General features: G+C 38.0%; 1 protein-coding gene across 3 annotated transcripts in view, besides 1 other annotated feature; it reads left to right on the top strand.

Annotated features, from left to right (window-relative positions):
- The window catches only part of MAML2 (mastermind like transcriptional coactivator 2), a 366,598-nt gene that overhangs the window by 112,322 nt on the left and 232,165 nt on the right, over positions 1-22,111 (top strand). Inside the window, exon 1 of one of the 3 annotated variants that reach the window (XM_011543023.4) lies at positions 64-1,117. The exons of 1 other annotated variant lie outside the window; for it this stretch is intronic. In XM_011543023.4, coding sequence (XP_011541325.1) covers positions 1,046-1,117 — 72 coding nt within the window. In that variant the 5' untranslated portion in view covers positions 64-1,045. Of the gene's footprint in view, positions 1-63; positions 21,948-22,111 lie in introns of those variants that run through there. One more of the 3 variants, XM_047427710.1, reaches the window with a different exon arrangement.
- Positions 15,395-15,464: an enhancer, noted in NCBI's record as "active region_5422". NCBI's record gives its function as "activates an Ori minimal core promoter by ATAC-STARR-seq in GM12878 lymphoblastoid cells {active_cell/tissue: GM12878}" and the evidence as "EXISTENCE:reporter gene assay evidence [ECO:0000049][PMID:35858748]".

The raw sequence follows: 22,111 nt of genomic DNA, 5'->3' as shown, positions 1-22,111 counted from the left end.
TGATGATCTCTTACAACACCGCTATTTGGGTAGAGAAGTAGAGTTTTAATTAGCGAGACAAGTGTCAAATATATTCTACACACATCACAGCACATTAGGCTTCGTATTGTTCCCTCATTTCCTGAGGACTATTTCCAAAGATAGGTATGGATGAAATCAGAGAACGTTGGGACTCTATAGGTCTCAGACTGGCCAGAAAAGAATCAACATAATCTGATGTGGGCTGTCCTGGAAATCAGGAAACTCAAGAGGCAGTCATCCCTACATACATTTTAGTAAATTATTTAACATTTCTGTGTATTCGTTTACCCATTTGAAGAAAGGGAGCTAGTATGTCTAGTCTTCAACTCTGCATATAGGATGCTATAAAGTAGTTAAGTTACAACCTTGTTCTTCTAACATTTCAGCTGCTTCATTTGCCTACATCAAAAAGCACTGTGTATAAATCATTGAAAAAAGAATATGTATAAATCCTTAAAAGAGCAGTAAGTGAAGTAATGCATTTAAATTGAGAATCAAGATGTACAAATATATATAGATATATACAAATATTTGAATGAGCAAAACATATAAATCTTTGAAAGAGGTATTAATGAATTTTGATGTATTTTTATAAACTGAAAATTTTTGCACAAATGTTGTCATCATCATACTCATATTCTATCCTAGACTATTCTAGACTAGCCAGGTCTATCCATATTCATCATTCCATATTCTAAATAGCTCAGGATTTTCTTTCTAAAAATGGGACCAGGGACAGTCATATTGTGGGAAATTTTTCATTAAACATCCCACGTTTCGTTAAATGTTTTTTCTTAAAGCTGTTTCAATTTTCAGCTTATCCTATTGAGGATAACAATTCTGAAAACTTAACAACTGGTGTTAAGTTTAATAATAATATTTGCATACCAAACATAGTACTTTTCTGTGTAAGAAAAAGTTTCACTGGTTCTAGGATACCAAAATACTGCAAATTGATTTCTGTTTTCCATATCCACACCCACCTTCCTGCTTTTGATATCTGTCTGGTATTTTGCAAGACAGAATGTTATGTGAGAGTGAGCACCAAGCAATGATATTTCTCTGCAGCCCAAAGAGTCTACAATTTCCTCAAAATGTGAGTAATTTCAAATTTATGGTATTGCCAGTTCTGCTTTTATACTGGTATAATGCAATGAAGTACTCATTCAGATTTTTATTCTCTGTTGGTTTGAAGAAAACATTTAGAAATTCTTAAATGAATCAATCGATATGTAGTCAAGGCACCATGGTAGCTTCTGGGGAGATCATGTGATTATATTTCTGTATCTAGGATGCTTGCAGTCTGGTTAGAAAGACTAGCCACATTGTGAGAAATGCTTTACAACATGACACACGAGGTAGTATCTGGTAAGGGATCCTCTAGGTAGGTAGAGAGTGGAGATTCAGAGGGCTTCCTGGGGCTCCAGGGGTGTGAAAGGCCTTGGGGGAAGAGAGGGAATCTCTGCAGGATCTCACCAATTGTTTTCAGAAGAAAATTAATTAGAAAACACTCTTACGTATAATTGCTGTTCTAGAAAATGGTTACAATTTACTTCTTTAAATGTTTAACAACATTTTAAATTATGTATTGTTTTCTTTTTGCCATTCATTCATCTCTTGGTGGTTTGGGGTGTGATTTGTGTTTTTCCCCTCTCTTGACTTATCTGAGAAATTCTGGCACTAGCCAGGTTTGGGATGTTTTTGTTCAGACATTCTTAAGTTATTTGGTAAGAAGAAAGGCTTTGTTGCATTTTTCTGCTGAGAAACAACTTTCTTTTTCTTTGTTTCAACCCTGAACTTCCTAAAAGCTCTTTATTTCTATAGATTGTTCTACAAAGCTATGCCTCAGGAGGTGAGAGACTAGGGAGCATTTTTTTTTTGTTCAACTAGAAGTAGCCACATTTTCAGAAAACAACTAATAAGTTTAAAATATGTCAAAGATAACTTTACAAGAGACCGCGTGAACATAGATATGTAAAGGAGAGCCTAGTGCTCTCAATGCCCATATCTGCAGGCCTCAAAATTGCTTATGAAGTCTAGAAACCATGGCCATCTGCCAGCCGGAGGCAGCATCACCACAATGGAATTCACAGTCACTCTGTTAAGACTTTATAAATACAGTGAGGGTCCAGGAGCCAGGACCTTCAGGCGCATGAGGCTTGTCTGGTCTGGTCTGGCCGACTGAGCAAGGAAACCCTGTCCTTGAATGAGGACTTCCTCAGCTTCAGTGACTAAATGTTTGTTCTCAAAAGTAAAATGTCCCAATGGAAGGTGGACAGCGGCCATCTTCTTATTTTATTTGTTTATTTTTAGCCAGGCACTCCATTAGTTGTGGCAGGAAGTCATCCTGAGAGGAAAGTCAAGGTGTATGTACATGGTTGACTTGGGGAAAGTGTTTGGAAGTTGGAAAAGTGGAACCATTTTTGAGTGTGACTTCATTTCTCTTCTGACCTAGCTCTACACAGTGTCATATCCTAGGAACTGGGTGCTAGCATGAAGGAGAAAAGCAAGATAAATTAAAGAGCTTTACCTCTAGATAGTAATAGGAAACCAAGAATCCAGCCTGGTGATGGCTGGAGGGAGTGATTGAAGTTAGCTGATGCCATGGGGAGTTAGCCAGGCAGCAAAAATGTCTGGAAACCCGATGTGGCCAAGACTGGGCTGTCCAGAAGCTCATCAGAGATAGACTCAATCAGTACTTTCTCTCCCACCTTCCTGAACAAGAAGAAAAAAATATGAGAGAATTGAGTTTGTAGTGTTCCCTTTTTCTCCCCCCAGGCTGGAGTGCAGTGGCACTGTTTCAGCTCACTCCAGGCTCAGCCTCCCAGGTTCAAGTGATCCTTCCACCTCAGCCCCCCGAGTGGCTGGGACTACAGGTGTGCACCACCACGCTCCACTATTTTTGTAGTTTTTGTAGAGACAGGGGTCTCACTTTGTTGGCCAGGCCGGTCTCAAACTTCTGGGCTGAAGCGATCTGCTTGCCTTGGCCTCCCAAAATGCTGGGATTACGGGCATGAGCCACTGCACCTGGCCGAGTTTGTAATGATTTCATTCGATGGCGACAGAGACATAAATAATAACAGCAGCAACAACAATAAACACTTGTTCTCTGCCAGGTGTTAAGCAAAACACATTGTATGCCTTTTCTCATTTAAACTTACAACAACCATATAAGGAAACTACTATTATTATTATTTCCATTTTACCCATGAGAAAACTGAATGAATCTCAGAGAGGAGCAAACTATGTCAAAAGTCACATAATTGGATAGTGAGATTATGGTGTTTGTACTGAAATATGTTTAACTTCAGAGCTCATGCTCTGAACACATACTATACTGCTCATTTATTCATTTATTCACATATATATTGTGCAACCACAGTGTGCCAGGCACTGGGCTGAAACAGGAGGATGAGAGAACCACTCCCTGCATTCTTGGCATGAAACTTACAGTATAGCTGTGAATGAGACTTATTTATGAAATAATCACATAAATGTATAACTGTGAACTATGAAAAGCAATATTAAGGAATGGATCACTACAGGATTATGCGTAGGTACTAGGGTAAGTATATACCTATTAGAAGGAAACTATGAACTATAATAAGTGATATTAAGGAAAGTTTAGAGAGTCAGAAAACTTGATATAATTTTAGGGAGTCAAGGAGAACTTCCCGAAGAAAGGGGCACATGCTTTCAGATCTGAAGGATTAACATGATAGCTAAGCAGAGAGAACTTGCTGGGTAGGGAAAGGCTAGCAGGTACAAGGGCCCCGAGGTAGGAGACAGCTTGACATGTTGCTGATTCTGTGAATACTTATTGAGGCATAGTGTAGCTACTGGTTTGTCACTTTTGTTGTGTTTCATATTCCTCCATTGAACGTAACATTTTTTACTGTTTCACTAATGAATTGATGTGAAGATATTCTATTTTATGCAGTTTTGATTTGTTTGTTTTCTGCTAATTTTATCTGACAAATTTAAAGTTTTTAGGGGAATAAGGGCTACATCTGTCATTGCTGTATCACAGTTTCTAAGATGGCATGCAGTTTAGGTACTTAAGTGCATTTTTATAGTAAAGAATAAGAATAATAATAAATGTCAATTCAGAGACTAATAGAATTTAGTTGCTTTTAGCTGATATGCTCAATTAAGAATTGACACTGTCTGTAAAAATCTTATCTTTATATATAATATGAGCTAGGAAATAGATTCATTTCTAATTTTTGCTAAGTGAAACATTTTAATATTCCTTGAAACTAAATGGAAAATTTTCCAAAGTAATGCTTGGCAGTTTGGCATGTGGAGAAAAAAAATCTTTCCTCTAGAGCAGCTTTTCCAGGGAACAGATTAGAATTAATTAGGGGATGTTTTACTAATGGAATATTTTTCTTCCCATTAATGTCACTGTCCTTCATGCCTGAGGATGGCATTATTGGCAATGATTGCTCTTATGTGTGAGAGACTATATAGACAGACAGGCCATTGCATAGAATTCTATTTGTCACACAACCTGAGACCACTGTCTTTAGTTTCAAAGCCTGAAGCTGTTTGTCTGGTCTGGCATTGTTTGGGACCTTACCTGCTAAAACTGTAATTGGCCCAGAGTCTTTTCTTGAATTCCACCCAAATTCTTTCCCTGTGACATAAAATCATTCTTAAATAACTTTTTAGGCAATAAAGCCTCCTCAGATTCAATCCCCATGCTATCTGTGGTGGGGAACACTAGGATATTGAGCCTTTAAAAACATGCACCATATCTTATTTGTCTTTGTATTTCTAAGATGTAGCATAGTGATTGGCTGATAGGAGACAATAAGTATTTGCTAAATATGTAATTAATTGAATGAATGGTGATCAACTAAAGGTGGGTTCCAGATTACAATTTTTGATAACCAGCTCAAATTTCCTTGCTACCTTGGACATTAATGATCATAGATTTAAAACTATGAATAACTACAATGAGAATGCTCGTACGATCTCTGTACAATCTGTATTGGTTATCTAATTTTTTTTTTTTGAGATAGTGTCTCGCTCTGTCACCCAGGGTGGGGTACAGTGGCCCATTTTTGGCTCACTGCAACCTTCGCCTCCCAGATTCAAGTGAGTCTCCTGCCTCGGCCTCCCAAGTAGCTGGGACTACAGGTATCCGCCACCACGCCCAGCTAATTTTTGTATTTTTTAGTAGAGACCGGGTTTCACCATGTTGCTCAGGCTGGTCTTGAACTTGTGACCTCAAATGATCCACCCACCTCAGCCTCCCAAAGTGCTGGGATTACAGGTGTGAACCACCATGCCTGGCCATGGTTATTATTCTGAATAATGAATTACCTCAAAATTAATTAACATTTATTACCACATATGCTTTCTAAGAGTCAGGAATCAGAGAGCAACTTAGCTGGGTGGTTCTGGTACAGGTCTCTCCTGAGGTAGCAGTCAAGCTGTATGCTGGGGCTATCATCTGAAGCATGAATAGAGATGGAAGATCTGCTTCCAAAGGCTGTTGACAGGTGACACCATCATGTGAGCCTCTCTGTAGGGCAGTTTAATTGTCCTCCTGACATGGTGGCTGGCTTCCCTATAGCAAGTGATCAAAGAGAGAAAGCAAAAATTAAGCTGCATGGTCTTTTATGACCTAGTTCCAAAGTTGCACACCATACTTCCTTCCCCTCTATTTTGTTCCTTAGAAGCTGGTCACTGAGTCAAACCTGCACTCAGGAAGAAGGTAGTTTTCACCTTTTCTGAAAAGAGGAATAGCAAAGAATTTGTAGAGATTTGAAAACACTAAAATACCTAAACATTGAAACTCCCCCAGAGTATTTACATGAATTGCATGTTTTCTAAAGTAGTGCAATGTATCACAATGTTCAATTTGTCAATAAGAAGTGCTTTTAGACAAAGTGCTTTTCCTGGAAATTAGCTAACTGTCTTAAAGTATAAATAATGTCATTTTGAAAAAAAACAAAAATCCTTGTAACCATGAAAACAAGAATCACCAGTACTTGAAGAATCCAAATAATGACCTAATTTTGTTTTTATTTTCTTTTTATTCCTCTGAAGTAGATTCAACAAATTCAAGTAAAGAACATTATGTGCATCTACTTTGTGCCAATTACTATGTCATGTGCTCTGGGAAGGGGATACACTTATGCAGAGGTGACAAAGATATAATCTGTCCCAGAGAAGCTGAGAGTATAACAGAGATGATGGACACATACACAAAACTTAATATGATATGAAGCTCACTGTATTGAGTTTTGTGAGAGAGCTACAGAGGAGGTGTTATGGGGGCACAAGGAGAAGAAAGTTAATTAACATTGAAAGATGAGAAGACATCTTGGAAGAACTTGAATTGGGCCTTGGAAGAAGAACAGCCATTCAAATAGATAGAATTGTGGTAGCAAAGGCATAGAGGTAGGAAAGTATAGATCTCCAGGGACAGTAGTCATGGGGTTGGGGCACTGTTGGAATTTAAGGTTGGAAGGATATATTGGAGCCCCTTGAATACGGTAACAAGGCACACCTTGGGCAGTGGAGAGTTATCAGAGTGTTTGAAAAGGAGGGTTATTGAGTAAATAAATAGACTGGTACTTTAGGAATTTTAAAATGTGGATCATTGTACTACTAATAACTATTTATTTTATATTTACTATCTACTAAGTAATTTACATGTATTTTCTTGTACTGACTGTAAACCTTCTGGGTGTGGGTGTTTTAAGTGCCATTTTACTGATAAAGAAACTGAGGCTTAAATAGTTGAAATAAGTCACCCTGTTAGTGAGTGGCAGAATGACAAGTCAGATCTAGGGTTGTCTAACTCCAAAGATAATATAAAATAATGTATCTCTCTTTTCCCTTATGCATAAAATATGGGAGCATATTAAATCATACACATAGATTGTCAAAAAATACTTTGGGAAACTGATTATAATATCAAATAATTCAGTGCTGCTGTCTCTTACACTTTTATCCCTATCTGTAAAACAAACTACAAATTGAGAGAGTACATTCCATAGCTTGGGAAAAAACCCAATTGTGTTGTACCTAAACTAATCATCTTAAGGCAGTAGTTCAGAAGAACAGTACTACTATAAGCCTCAGAAAGAGGAAACTACCTGGGTATGGCGGGTGGGAGCGGAGAGAGGATCCGAAAAAAATACCTATCGAGTTCTATGCTTATTACTGGGGTGATGAAATTATCTGTACAACAAATCTCTGTGACATGCACTTTATATATAATACAAACCTGCACAAAAACCTAAAATAAAAGTTAAAAAAAATGACAATCAAAGAAAAAAAGAAAAAAAAAGAAAATACCTGGCTGGATCTACCCTCTAACATTTTTAGGACTCAGGGCAAGACAAATGAAAGCCTACATACTATGTGTCTAAATATTAAACATTATAAATAGGCTAACAAATGGTTAAGTAAAATATGCTTTGTCTTTCTACCTTGACAAATAAATGTTGATAATGACAAAATTGAAAAATATATGGAAAGCTGTCATTCTTGAAGTCAACAAAATGTCCATGATGACTGTAATCATTATTGTGTACATCTGAATATTCTGTTGTGGGGTTGGTGATGTTTCCATGAGTAATAAAATTAGGTCATACATAATTAATATATTATTACTTAATCTGTAAAATTTATTTTTGCTTTCATTTCTGCAATTCCCTAATTATGTTGTTATAATGACAGTTTTCATATAACGTGTCTTCTATTGACAGTAATGATCTAAATATTAGATTCTAAAGTATTAAAAATGAAGTGTAATATTAAAGTACACACAATTTGAATTTATTTTCATCAAAAATGTAAAGTAAAAATAAAAATCCAAAACTAAAGGTTAGCTTTTGTGCTACTAAAAGTTTTCTTCTAAAATCTTCAGTTTTCTGGGAAAAAAGGCAAAATTCAAAGTATAACTAATGAATATAACATTCAAATAATTATTTAAATGAAACAAATTATATTTTTTGAAAATTTAAATCACATTAAATATTTTTATAAAAATAAAACTGGTAGTAATTCTAGTGTTCAATGGTGATCCAATTACCAAAGAATCCCTAGCACACTAGTCACTACTAGACCTGCATATATTTAACTTTAAGGGCCATAGGAATTGTTTAATATTACAAGATGTTCTTTGGCCACGATATGCAACTTTTGGGGTTATCAAGGTAATAGGTGAGTACTTCTGGAGCATCGAATTAGAACATGAAAAGAAGTAGCAAAATGGAAGCTTGGCACTCCTGGGAAATGATATCTCATTATCCCTTGCATTCGTGCTGAGAGGAAAGACTTGACAAGTTAATTAATTTGTCTTTTTCTTAACTGAGTGCTTCTGCTGCTCAACTCCTCCCTGCTCTCTAAAGAAGTGTCCTTCTCTGATATGGGCAGCATCACAATCCAGCCTCAAAAGAAGCCACCTTGGGCTTCCAAGACACAAAGCAGGGGATATGGAGAGGTGTCTGCACTAGAGTCTGGATGGTGCTACTGACAACAGTGAGTGTTCAGGGTGACTGCTAGTGCTGTGCAGTGCTGAGCGCCACATTCCATGGGACCACGTGTCCTTTAATAAACATATTCAGCGTGCGCTTATGGAACTCATGGCTTCTAAAGCACAAGGCGTATGTTTCAAGCATAGTGCTATCCCTGAGCAGCATTTGTAAGCCTCCAGTCTGCAACAGTGGGATTACCTACCAGGCTCAGCTGATGGACCGGGATGATATTGGAAGAGAGGCTGCCAGCCTGAAGACTTACCTGGAAACATTTTCTCGTTGGTCTGGTTTTAATAAAATCACCAGATTCCACTAGAAGGAAACCAAAGATTACAAAGGTCCAAATTAATATATGACAAAGTAGAAACGGAAACTGGGAGGAAATGAGGTGAAACACAGGGGATGATGTATTGGAAATAGGGAATGAAAACCGTACAGAGTAGAAACACCTGAAAGCAGTTCTGGAAACTCCACATGCTCCTGCTGTACCAAGACCTGGTCCTATGTGTGCTGACCTTGTTCTTCTGCTCACATCTGCCACATCTGCAAATGTGGCAACATTTTAGCTGTTTTCTATTAACACTGAAGTACTCTGAGAGCTTGGAAATTTTCAAGTGCAAAATCAGGTCCAGAGAACAGTAAAAAAAAAAAAAAAAAAAAAAGCTTGACTGAACTGCCACTCACATCTTCCCTATACTGTGCAGAAGCAAAGAGCTCAATACTGATTTTGGTTTTGTGGTTGAAGGCAACTGCTATGAAACTTCTTAAGTGGTTCATAGTTGTCCATATTTTATCCTTATGATTGAAACAATATTTCCTGCTTTCCCCAGAGTAATAATTTTAAAGGTGGGGTCTCTAACCTCGGGTATAGCCTGGCCTCCACAGTGTTACACTGTTCCCAAAATGACAGGGGATACAAAACAGATGGGTCACACTGCAGGCTGCAGAAGTGGGATTTTGTTCCTGAAGACAAACCCCACACTACAGGAAAGGCCCAGCGCTATCTCTGAGTCTTGATAGGTTTGGAATGACTTTAAAGTTATTAATCAAGAAGTGAATAGGTGGAAACTTGGGAACATGTCCTTCTCTGTGGTTAACAGTGGGAACAGCAAGGCTAATTGCTTTAAGTCTAAATAATCAGAAGCTGTAAACTCTGTCACCCAAACTTCCAGTTTATGTCACTGGCTTTCTGGAGGCTGCATTACAGTGTTGTGGTGGTGAAATTATTATTAATTAATGACCATAGTATTAATAACACTATATACTGTGAACTTATTTTATAGTAATACATCTCCTCAGTGCTCAATAAATACTTGTTGAATAAATACTTTCTCATTAGTTGGTTCAACAAATGCCCATTGAATACCTGTTATGAAAAAGGCACTGGGTACTGATCCAAAAATGAATTTGTTTTAGCCAGAGTCTTCCAAGAGATTAGAGTTTTACAGATATTATCCTGATGAATGAACAACCCAGAAAGGCATCCTCCTTTCAGTTTGATGATGCTTTTTTTTTCACTTTTTATATAAAAGATTTTGAATTTGCTATTTTGAAAAATCCAGTAGAGGTTTCAGAGGATGTATTTGAAACTTGTATTTTTTTAAATCTATGTCTGACTGTTAAGGAAATTGTACTTTTTTCCAAGTTACTCTATTACCTATAATACAACCAGAAATAAAATGTTAAAAACTCAAGCTCATGCATACCCAAGGATGACAAAAAAAATTCTGCATGTATAAGAACACTTTACATTGCATTTTGTAACAACTTGCAAAGAAGATAAATAATATGTATGACTCCAGATTGCAGTAAACAGACTCCCACTTAGCTTAGCTTTTAAGTTATGCAACTTCCTCACTGATGACTTAGAAAAAAATAAAGAGGCAGCAAATAGTCAATAAAGAGTAAGGCAGGAAGCATGTGCTGACTCTGAGTCCCAGGAGGGCTCACCATGTCCGGTGCCACTAGGGAAACAAATCTCTAAGGCAGTTGAAATTTTCCTGCTTCTCACATAATCCCAAGCAGAGCACAAGGCAGTGGCTTAAATCTGCAGGTTTAAAGGAGCACAGAGAAAGAGAAATAAGAGAATGAAATCTGTACCCTAAGAGAGTGAAGGAGGGTCACTCATTTGTTTACAGGCAGTGTTCCCCCACCCCCTTCTCTAGACAGCAAGGAATTTGGAGCCTCTGTCAACTCTCAGGCAAAGATCCTTTGATCAATTCACGTAGGGCCTGATAACGCATGGACACTGTGGGAGATTAAAAGAAGATAGTAATATTAATATAAAGATCATGGCAATGATAACAACATGCCACCATTTAGTGTCTTTGTGTTTCCCAAGAGTTAACACTATACATGCATCAACTCATTTAATACAACATGATGAAATAGTCTCATTTTACTGAGGGATTAAAAATAATAAACTGATGGCTGAGTATGTTGGCTCACACCTGTAATCTCAGCACTTTGGGAGGCCGAGGTGGGCAGATCACAAGGTCAGGAGTTCGAGACCAGCCTGACCAACATGATGAAACCCCATCTCTACTAAACATACAAAAATTAGCTGGGTATCGTGGCAGGTATCTGTAATCCCAAATGCTCAGGAGGCTGAGGCATGAGAACCACTTGAACCCAGGAGGGTGGAGTTGCAGTGAGCCGAGCTTGTGCCACTGCACTCCAGCCTACATGACAGAGTGAGACCCTGTCTCAAAATAATAATAATAATGAACTGAGACTCAGAAAAGATGTTTGTTCAGGGTTACAAAGCTCAGACAGGACAGGGCAGCATTGGAAACCAAAATTGGTCTGACTCCTAGGCTCATGCTGTAAATCACGGTGCAAGGCTTCTACTATCTATGTTTTTCCTAAAAGAATGTATAAATGAAAAGATGGTTAACATATTAAGCAAAATATGTTAAACGTCAAATGAACTGTATAAACGATAAATGCTGGAGAGTTGAGGTGGCAAAGAACTCATGCCCGAGGTGATCTGGGAAGGCCTCTTGAACAAGGTGGAATTATAGCTGGTTTTTGAAGAATCCGAAAGTGCTTAGATTGAAAGGTGAGACATGTACAGGAATGGTTTCTAAGATGTCATATTTTATCTCTGTCCTCATCTTGACTGGCACTAATGAACATCAAAGATTTCAACCTAAATACATTGAGTGCCCAGTATGTGAAGGGCCTTATTTATGTTGTTTTAAAGCTTTTTAACATACTTTAAAGAAGGGACTGGTTAATCTCCACTGTCTAGATCCATTAGACCCGGAGCCGGATGGCCCCAGGGGCCTTTGGGAATGGCGTGGTGGGACAGTCTCCACTTTTGCACATACCCAAGAAAAGAATGGTCCTTTGGGAATTTTGCAGACCTACAATCTGGAGATAATGTACTTCTGATCATAATTCAAGTGCCCCCAGATATAGGGTTGCCAGATTTAGCAAATAAAAATATAAAATGCTCAGTTAAATTTGAATTTCAGATAAACAATGAATTATCTTTCAGTACAAGTATGTTTCAAATATTCCATGGGACATACTTATAACTTTTAAAAACTTATTTGTTATTTATCTGAAATTCAAATTTGACTGGGCTTTTACATTTTATTTGGCAACCTACCCAGTCAGGAATTGGAGGGAAAATTTTGAGATTTGAATTTTTTGGCATACATAAATACTCTTCTATGTGAAGACCTCAAATAAACTAAAAAACAAAAAGAAAAAGTGTCAGTATTATACATTCCCATAAAATATGCTCCATTTTAAAATGAGACCAATGGGGCAGGAAGTTACCTCACAAAAGTAATTTTGTGGAAATAATATAAAAATCTCTGAGTTTTTATACTTTATTTATTCAAGAAATTCTGGCCTTAAAATAGTAGTCAGTTGACCCAAGTAAGTCACTTGCTCTGCATCAAGATAAAAATGCATTTCATGCTGTGTACGCTGAGGATAAAAAAAGACATGCTGAAAACTGGATTTCCAAGTAGTGCCCCTATTAAAGATGACAATTAAGTGGGGTTCACCGAGGATGCATGGTGCCTTAGGATTGAATTATAAGAATGATGATTGTTTTTGGAGTTGGAGTCAAATATCAGCCTTTAAACCAAGTCAAAGCCAGGGTTACAGCTGCGTTACAGCTGCCTTCTGTCACTGACACTGCTGTGGAAAAATTCAAAAGGCACACCAAACGTTTTTTCTAGTGCATTTTTCAAAGCAACTTGGAATTAGTACAAGTACCTCGACGCAGAAAGCAAATGTATTTACCTATGTAATATCAAGCTTGCCTGGAATCATTTAGTAGGAAAAAGTATTCTGCAGAGAAATGTACTTTGAGAGAATGCAAAGCATGAAAGGTAAATTGGAGTCTTGAAGGGGGGATTTTAAATCACATTTAGACATAAATCCTTTCAGGTCATGATTCCCATAGATTACCAGCATCTGCTAAGCCTAGATAGTTCATAATCACTAAAATTGTCGTAATCTTCCTATGGAAGGTTTACCAAAGAAGTACTGAATTACACTGGGTTAATACTTTTAAGGATGAATGGTCAAGACGATGATGCTAAATTAATGCAGTGGCTACATAGTAAAATCTAATACTAATAACATATCTGAACGAAGCTGTGGTTTCAAAAGGCGTTCACTCCATCAGGGTAATGTATTCTCAGGTATATGATCAACTAGAAAGTTGCCAACCATTATTCACCTTCACCTACTCCTACAAGCTTCTCTGTCCTGTCTTATTCTTTTCTACTGTCAAAAAGAGAGAAGGACTTAAAGGTTGGGTCTGTAAAATAGGAAACCATAGAGCAAAAACACAGATAACACAGTCAAGGAAGATGCTCGAATAAATTATCGGTGGACAGTGTTCTCTGGATTGAAGCATGGAATCTAAATATGGTGTCTCATAGAGTCTACTGACATACCACGCTATAAGTGGAAACAGTGCAGGGCAGCATCTAGTGCTGTGTGAACTGTATCAACAGCACCGTGGAGTGACAGTCACCATGTCCTATTATATTTTTGGTTATTTAGATGGACAGTGCATTTGCGCTTGTGCAGTTACTTTTAGTAAATGCACAGGAGTGGCATTCTCACTTTCCTTCACTGCATTTGCAAGGATCAAGGGAAATATTTCCAGTGACATGGAGCTAGTAAAAATTGATCAATTGTGAAATAGCTAAGCAAATACTTGTTATACTTTAATAGGAACAGCAGTGTAACATGTAATGAGCACTGAGCAAAGTATGTTGGATGCGCTTATGCATCCACTGAATTCGAACATATTGGTCTGCTTCTTCATTCCACATCCCCACCATCCTGCTCTCACACTCCCTGGTCTCCAGTCATATTCCTAATTCTCTGAATACTTTGCTTCATGGCCTCTTACATACCTATTTGCTTGTGCACCTCCTCCTGCCCCTGGTGGAATTACCCCTGCCCTTTGTCTCCTGGTGAACCTTTGCTTTTTCAAGTCTCAATTCAAAAGTCACCCTGACTTCTACTCCCCAGTGTCCTACCCAGAGTTGGATGCCCCTGCACCGTGTTGCTCCAGCCCTGAATTCACACCCTCTGTGAGAAAACACATTACGTTGGCTTCTAATCAGTTGCTTCCCTGCTTTCTTCTCTCAATGGGCTGCACGCTTCCTGAGAACAGGGACTGAGTCTCTTTCTGCTTTTCATTTTCAGAACAGAGTGTCTGTAATACACAGCATACCTAAATGATCCATAAGCATTTTATTACAAGTAATCTGGAGTGCACCATGGCCTGGACACTCTGGGGCAGTATGGATAAATAGAATACCAGGACCAGACATACCCATGTAAAACTTCCAAAATGTCTACATGTAAAGCTACAAATTTAATGGTACCAACAATAAAAATTGGTGCAATCAAGAGAAGTGAAGTAAAATTCTCTGGGAAGAATTGAGGAAAGCCTTATGAGAAAGGTGAAATTTGAGGTGGGACTTAAGAGAGGCATTAAAATGGAAGAAAGCAGTGGCTTCCTCTTCCTGGGAGTTCATCAGGGCCATAGACTTTAGGGCAGAAAAGTCAAACTACAGACTGAAAAGAAAAGGCCAAGTATGAATGGAGGGTTTAGGTTGAGGAGTAGGCTAAGATCTTCCTGGTTCTTCCCTCTGTGCAACACTGAGAATCTTTTTCCTGTGTCCAATTTTACATCTTCTTCTTCTGGTTTAAGCATGCCTAAAAGAGATTACCAACTACCAACTTCTGAAGACACAGTTTGTGTAGTTCCTGTGGACTGGGACATGTGACTCTGCAAATATGATACTAAATACTCTATTTTTTTTTTAAGCAAATTGAGTATGTAACTCTGTCTCAAAATATGCAGTACATGTCTCAGCCTTAAACTTGTTCCCCTGTGCTTTTAGATAATAATTTTTTGAAATGTGTTTGGAAGTCTTTGGGGGCCTAAGTTTAGAAAGCTAGAAAGACATTCTCATTGCCTTTGTTGTTCCAATCTGTTGTTCTGTAATTTCTGGACTTGGATCTATCATTTGACTGAAAAGGATAAAAGGTCCAAGAGTGAAAAGAAATGGGTTAAAGAGAGGGAACAACCAGCCAAAGCAGTGGCAGCCAGCACCCGAGGGGGGTGGCTGCAGCTGGGCTCTGCCCAGCTGCAGGTGTGGAGGAGGAAGTGCAGGAACGAGCCCAGGACCCATTTCCAGGTGGCAGCAGGGTTCAGTGGGCTTAATTAACCGGTGAACTGCTCATGAGGTCGGTCTGTCTCTACCTTTCTACACCACACTGAACAAGCCACTGACCATTTCCTGCCTCGGATTTCCTCAGCCCCAAAGAGGGGACAACAATGTGTATTCGTCAGAGAAATTACTGGCCACTGTCTCATTCAGAAGCTGCCCCTAGAAGTGTTAGTAAAGACTTTTAAAAACATGAAACAAAGCAGAGAATTAAAAATAACAGGAAGTGGAAGAGAGAGCACACTATGATCTGAAATCTTCTGTGTTATATGCTGGTGTTAAAGAGGTCGTGAGGCCTTGATGAAGATTTGTTACTTGGAAGGATGTCAGTGCTGGGGACCTGCTCTCTGTGAACCCAGCAACCTGCCCCAGCATTTCAAGGGGCATACAGTCCACTCAGATGATTTATTTCTGAGTTGGAATTACCCCATTCCCCAGCCCACCCTCTTTTCAACTTTGTACAAATGTAAGTGGCCAATTCACTTTACTACACAAATGACTCATGATTTCATGAGCTGCAAGCAGCAGTTTCTTAAGCAGCTTTCCCATATTCCTAGTGCAAGAAATGGACACACAGACATCTCTTATGGGCTAGATCTTTTTAATTTGTGAAGCAAAGAAAGTGAGGGAACCACTGGACCCAATCTCAAGTATCCAAGGTCAACTAGACGAGGCACATGGCCAATTTCCAAAGACACATGGTTCTTTCCTAATCCTCAGCCTCTACTTCCTCACTGGATCTGAGTTCAAATCTCAGAAAGGTCAGAGCATGTGCATTTTTGGCATTTTTAAACAAATGGATGCAATTAAGAACTTGAGGAAAGGGTGACTTTCTATAGTTTTCAGCATACATCAGCTACTTGACAACTTCTACTAAAATAGAGCTGCTTTCAGAGGGTAATGTGAGTAGCCAATCACTGCCACTCAGGACAAAAATGTTGGCCAATGACCTAGAAGTAAGTGTGTGGTGTATTTCGCATGACTATAAGTGCTTCTCATTAGGAAAATAATGGCATCAGTTCCTGGAGTTTTCTTGGTTATTTAAACCTCCTGCTTTGGAGTTGAGTTCATGGTTTACCAACATCAGCAAGTGTTTCCTATTTTGTTGTACATGATCACCAAAGGAATAGGAGGCAATAAAGGAAATGAGAACTAAAGGTTCTAGAGAGATTACATTCTTTATCACATTTAATCTTTATAAGAACCCCCAAAAGTTGGTGTTCTTTCCTCCATCTTACAGATGTTTTGAAAACTGAAGCTCTGAAAAGTTACGTAACTTGGATCTACAGAGCTCTAAGAGGACGTGCTAAGATTTGAATCCAGAATTTCGTGACTCAAAAACGTTTTCTCCACAATATCAGTTTACCAGAATAACCTAGGCATGGCCTCAAAAGACCTATATTAGAAATTAGCTATATCCTAGTTCTAAGGAAGTATTCATTTTTTATTATTCAACTGTTAAAACTGCACATATATTATATTCCATAGAAATTCTGAGCATCAATAATAGGAGATACTTTCACTATTTGTATATATGTATATGTATATTTGTGTATATATACATACAAAATATATTTTACAATTGTCTCTTTGTTCCAAGAGTGGGAAGGAAAATAATTAGAATTTGTAGTTGGGCATTTGTGTCCACTTTAACCTGATCCATTCTGTCTAACTTTTCTTTGCAAGCTCTCAAATTCATTGTTAGCCTATCTGATCCTGTCGTCTGGAGACTGCCAAGTATTTCACATCTTACCCAGGGAACCGACCACTTTTAAGGGAGGGAGGGCACTCTTTACTGACTTTTCCTAATTTAAATTCATTGAAAATTGTTAATTTTAAGGGCAAAGACAAGGCAATGCATCTGTAAAGAGCTCTGTCACTTTTCTCCAAGTGATGACTAATGGTGGGGAACTTAAAACCTTATCCTTGGTATCTTTTGGAGTCCAGACAATTCAGTGGTCTCCTGGGATGAGTAAATATCAGCCCGTTCCCAGGAAGATTAACTAGTAAGATGATGTAGGAAAAGCTGCTACTTTTTAGAGGGCTATACTTAAACTGCCATCTACACTTCTTAAGGCAGAATCTCAGATAGTTTACTTCCATATGGGATGCTATGATTTCTAGAAAGAAAGGATATTTTATACAGTTATAAGAGTAACAGTGGTTTCTTTCCAAGATGTTAAATTTGGTCTCAAGGTTAGTGTTTGTTAATGTAATGTAATTACTGGTCTTTAAAAGATCATAAAGTAGAGTAGAATTAGGAGACCTGAATTAGGGCTCTCCATTACTGGGCGTATAGTTGTAGGTAAATTCCCAGTTTCTTTACCTGTTGTGCAGGTAGCAATACCTATCCATATTCCCTCATAGCCTCACATTTTTAAAATAGGAAGAATGCTGAAGTACTTTGAAAGTTCTAAGAGCTCCAATGGGGTCCTGTAGCACATGGGCTTTGTAGTCAGAAAGCCCCAAATTCAAAACTTAGCTTTTCTACTCTTTTCCTGTGTGGGTCAGTTTTCTAAACTCTCTGTATCTTGGTCACCTCACCTGTAAAATAGGCTAAAAATAGTTCCTACCACATATGATACTTGTGAGGACCAGATGGGCTCTTGGTATGCTTGAGTTGAAAAGGCTCATAGAGTTTATGTTACCCATTCCTCCTAATTGTAAGATGAGGAAACCGAGGCCCTGGCTGGTAGAGTGTCTTACCCAAGTTCATTCATCAATAATTTTTGAGTTATACCAAGCAATTTGCCTGCAGAGATTCAATGTTGCTTAAATTACCATGTTGCCTCAATTCTTAGGAAGACTTCTTTTTAATTGAGAGGTCTTCTTGCTCCTTTATGTCAGAAGGAATGGTCACATTGCTGACTTTTTCTTGTTTATGGACTGATGACTCATTTATGAGTTATCTAAACGTCTTGTTCCTTCTTTCTCTCTTCTGCCGTCTCTATCATGGGACTATTTTCTTTCTGCTAGCACTTCTACTAGAGATTGTGAAAGGGTGGTGACAGTGAATTAACTCCTTGTTAGCAGCCTTGTCTCTTGAGAGGAGGCTCACCCACTGCTGCTGACTGATAAGATGATGACAATCTCTGCTTCCTAAAAAATCTTCTCTACTATTAAGTTGGTGCATAAGTCATTGCAGTTTTTGCCATTACTTTGCCTTCCAGATTGCCTCTTGCTTCTCTCTGCTCTACTTGCTCCTTCTTTGCTGGATCCTCTTCCTGGGTAAACCCTTAAATGTGTTACATTCTTTAGGATCTGTCCTTGTCTGTCTTTGATTCTGCCTGCTCTTCTCGGTGATCGCAGACACTCTTGTGTCCTCAGTTACCATCTATCTGACACTGGCTCCTAAATCCATTATCTTTAACTTAACTTTCTCACTTAACTGCCAGATCTCATTGCCTCTTGAATATCTCTGCCTGTTTCCCACAGGTACTTCAAAAATTGTATCCACAAATGAGATTACGAGTCCCCCTTCCACACACACACACACACACACACACACACACACACACACACACTTTGTCTTCCTTTTATAGCCTAAATTAATCAAGCATTCTCAGCTCCTTGCCCAAGTTCCATATCTATCCAGTTTTCAAATCATTTTTATTTTATCTTGAAATATCTCTTGAACCCAGCACATCGCTTTCCTATTTTACTGATACAGTTGCGTCAGTTCAGCACTCATCTTTTTTCACCATAGCTTCCTAACTTTTCTCTGTGGCCTAGTTCTCTCCATTCTATCTAATCTTCCCTCTGTATTCTGCCACAGATAACTTTCAAAACTGAATTTTATCTTTGTTGATCTTCTATTAGGAAAAATGTTAGATCCTCAACTAGTGCTTAAAGACGAATCCAAACTATTGTAATATATTAGCAATTTCCAGGATTAGAGCTCCAACCCCTTTCCATCTGCTCCACTAGGTACCCTGTGGGCCCCTGTGATTCATTTACAATAAACTTGTCACATTTCCTCAAGTACTTGCCTGACATCAGATGTGTGACATCCTCAAAGACGCCCCCATACCTCTGATCTTCCCTTCTCTTACAACTACCCCTTGGGCCCCTGCAAGTCAGTATTTCATTCTTATTTTTATATTATGATATCTTTTTACATCTGTCTCACCCAACAGACTTTGAGCTCATCAAATTGGATAACAGGCTTTTCTTTTTTTTTTTTTTTAATTTCAAAGACCCTATCACATTGGACAATGTCTTCCACTCAAAAGGAATTCAGTAAATAGTTGTTGAAGTAATGTACTTACGACAATTATTAAGATCAGAGGAATATTGTTTATCATTCAATGTTTATAGTTAAATATTTGATTTTTGATAACCATTTACTGAATAATTCACCTAACACCCCATAAACTAATTAACAAAGAGTGTCTTCATAAATGGTGTTGATATCACATCAAGATGCTAACAGTGTAAAATTAGGATTTTAAAAATATGTATGTACCTTTAAGGCTTCTGTGACTTTTAGGTTTCTCTAAAGTTTATTTAACTTTAATCCACTTAAATTTCTTTAAAAGTTAACCATTATACATAAGGTAATCTGACTCCAAATTTCTGATTATTATATAAAATCCAAAGATAGGTAAGGATATAAATCTAAATGTAGTCCAATAAATGGACAGAAAAATGTCAGCTTCACATGTAGTTTATGGAAGTAGTGCATATATGAAGCCACAGAAAAGGAAGAGACAAAGGAATTTCAAATTTTGGAATTTATAATTAACAATTATATTCACATATGCTATAGAGTAAAATAGTGTGAAAAGTTGAACAATATATCTATATATTGGTTTTATAAAAGTATCATGGTATGCAGTTAATTGTTGAACACTATGCTTAGAGATAAGAAAATATTAATAATATTTATAGTAACATTTATTGGGCACTTACTCTATGCTCTATGCTAGGTGCTGTGCTAAGTACATCATATGCATAATTTAATCCCCCCAATATCTCTTTGACACAGTTCCTCTTGTTACTCCTGTTTTCCAGATGAGTAAATAATTCTTAGAAAGAGTGATTGACTTGTCAGAGGACTTAACAAGTTTTAGAGCTGTTTGAACATAGATCTGATGTGTTGTTCTATATTAAATGAATGAATACCTTTTAGGTATCTCAATTCTATACTAATTAGTAAGTAACTGATAAATCATTTGGTAAATTTCTATAAACTGTGTTTTGGACATATCTAAAATGATAAGGCAGGTGGGCACAGTGGCTCATGCCTGTAATCCCAGCACTTTGGGAGGCCGAGGTGGGCAGATCACCTGAGGTCAGGAGTTCCAGACCAGCCTGGCCAACATGGTGAAACCCCATCTCTACAAAAATACAAAAATTAGCCAGGCGTGGTGTCGGGTGCCTGTAATCCCAGCTATTTGAGAGGCTGAGGCAGGAGAATCGCTTGAACTCAGGAGGTGGAGATTGCAGTGAGCCAAAATTGTGCCACTGCACTCACTCCAAACTGGGCGACAGAGTGAGACTCCGTCTTAAAAAATAATAAAAATAAAATAAAATAAAATGGTAAGGCACATTTTGTAGTCATTATTGAGAACAAAAGAAAAGCAAAATTAACTGAGAATCTTTGAAGTTAGGTATTGTTAACTACTGATTGTCTAAATCCACCACTTCAGTTTGTTTTAAAGTCTGCTTTTCTATCAAAATTTTGAACATTCACCGTAAAGTATGCCTCCAGAAATGACCACTAATATATTATTAAACTATTCTTAACTATTCCATGCATAGTGGGAGATATTGAGGTCTATTGCTTGATATAAGAAATTAAACTGTATTTCTTCTTTCTTTTCCTGCTGGAGGGTAATTTACAAAATAATCGATAGTTTCGTGGCACTGTTAAAGTGGAAATGCACTCAAAATAATTACAATTAAAGGAGCCTACAGATTTTATAATGCCCAGGTTAATTATCTTCAGAATATCTGCCCAATACAGTATGTTACAGGATACCAATAAAGAATACAATTATTTTTTTCTTGATACTTTGCTTTTTTGTTTGTTTGTTTGTTTGTTTGTTTGTTTTAGAGATGGAATTTCACTCTGTCACCCAGGCTGGAGTGCAGTGGCGCCAATCTCCGCTCACTGCAACCTCCGTCTCCCAGGTTCAAGCGATTCTTCTGCCTCAGTAGAGACAGGTTTTTACCAGGTTGGCCAGTCTGGTCTCGAACTCCTGACCTCAAGTGATCCACCTACCTCGGCCTCCTAAAGTGCTGAGATTACAGGCGTGAGCCACTGCACCCAGCCTTTCTTGATATTTGATCCCTAGAGTCCAATGCATAAGTAGATGAAGATGGAGCTGCTTTTATTATAAAATTTGAGGGATGTGAAGAAGGTACCCTTGTCCCAAAAGACTGCCCCCCCACCCCCCACCCAAAAAAAGTTACAGGTTTTCAAAGTTTTCAAGTCTTTGGTTGCTCTCTGTGAACAAGTAAATATCCCTGGGAGCACTAACCCCTTATGTCTTTTGTCACACACTTAAGTAATCAAACTGGGAAGATGACAAAAATGCAAATTCTTAGGGGTACTTCATAGATTCTGATTTGATCATTCTGGAAGGAGACTGAGAAACTGCATTTTAACAAGCACTTTGATGATTCTGATGCAGGAGGTCTTCTGGACCACATTTTGAAAACTCTTAACAGATAACTGACACATCGAGTTGTTAACAAACTGGTAAGTTACATTTCTCTAAATGTGTCCTTCATTTCCAGAAGTTGTTATTGGTTTTTATTTATGCTGTCTATTTCACTGAAGATTTTTCCATTCATATCCTGTATGATTTTTTTTTAATTTCTTTAAGTTGGACTTCACCTTTCCCTGGTGCCTCCTTGATTAGC

This window comes from Homo sapiens, chromosome 11, assembly GCF_000001405.40.
Source record: "Homo sapiens chromosome 11, GRCh38.p14 Primary Assembly".
Classification (NCBI taxonomy): domain Eukaryota; kingdom Metazoa; phylum Chordata; class Mammalia; order Primates; family Hominidae; genus Homo; species Homo sapiens.
This window is presented reverse-complemented; position numbering and strand designations above follow the sequence as displayed.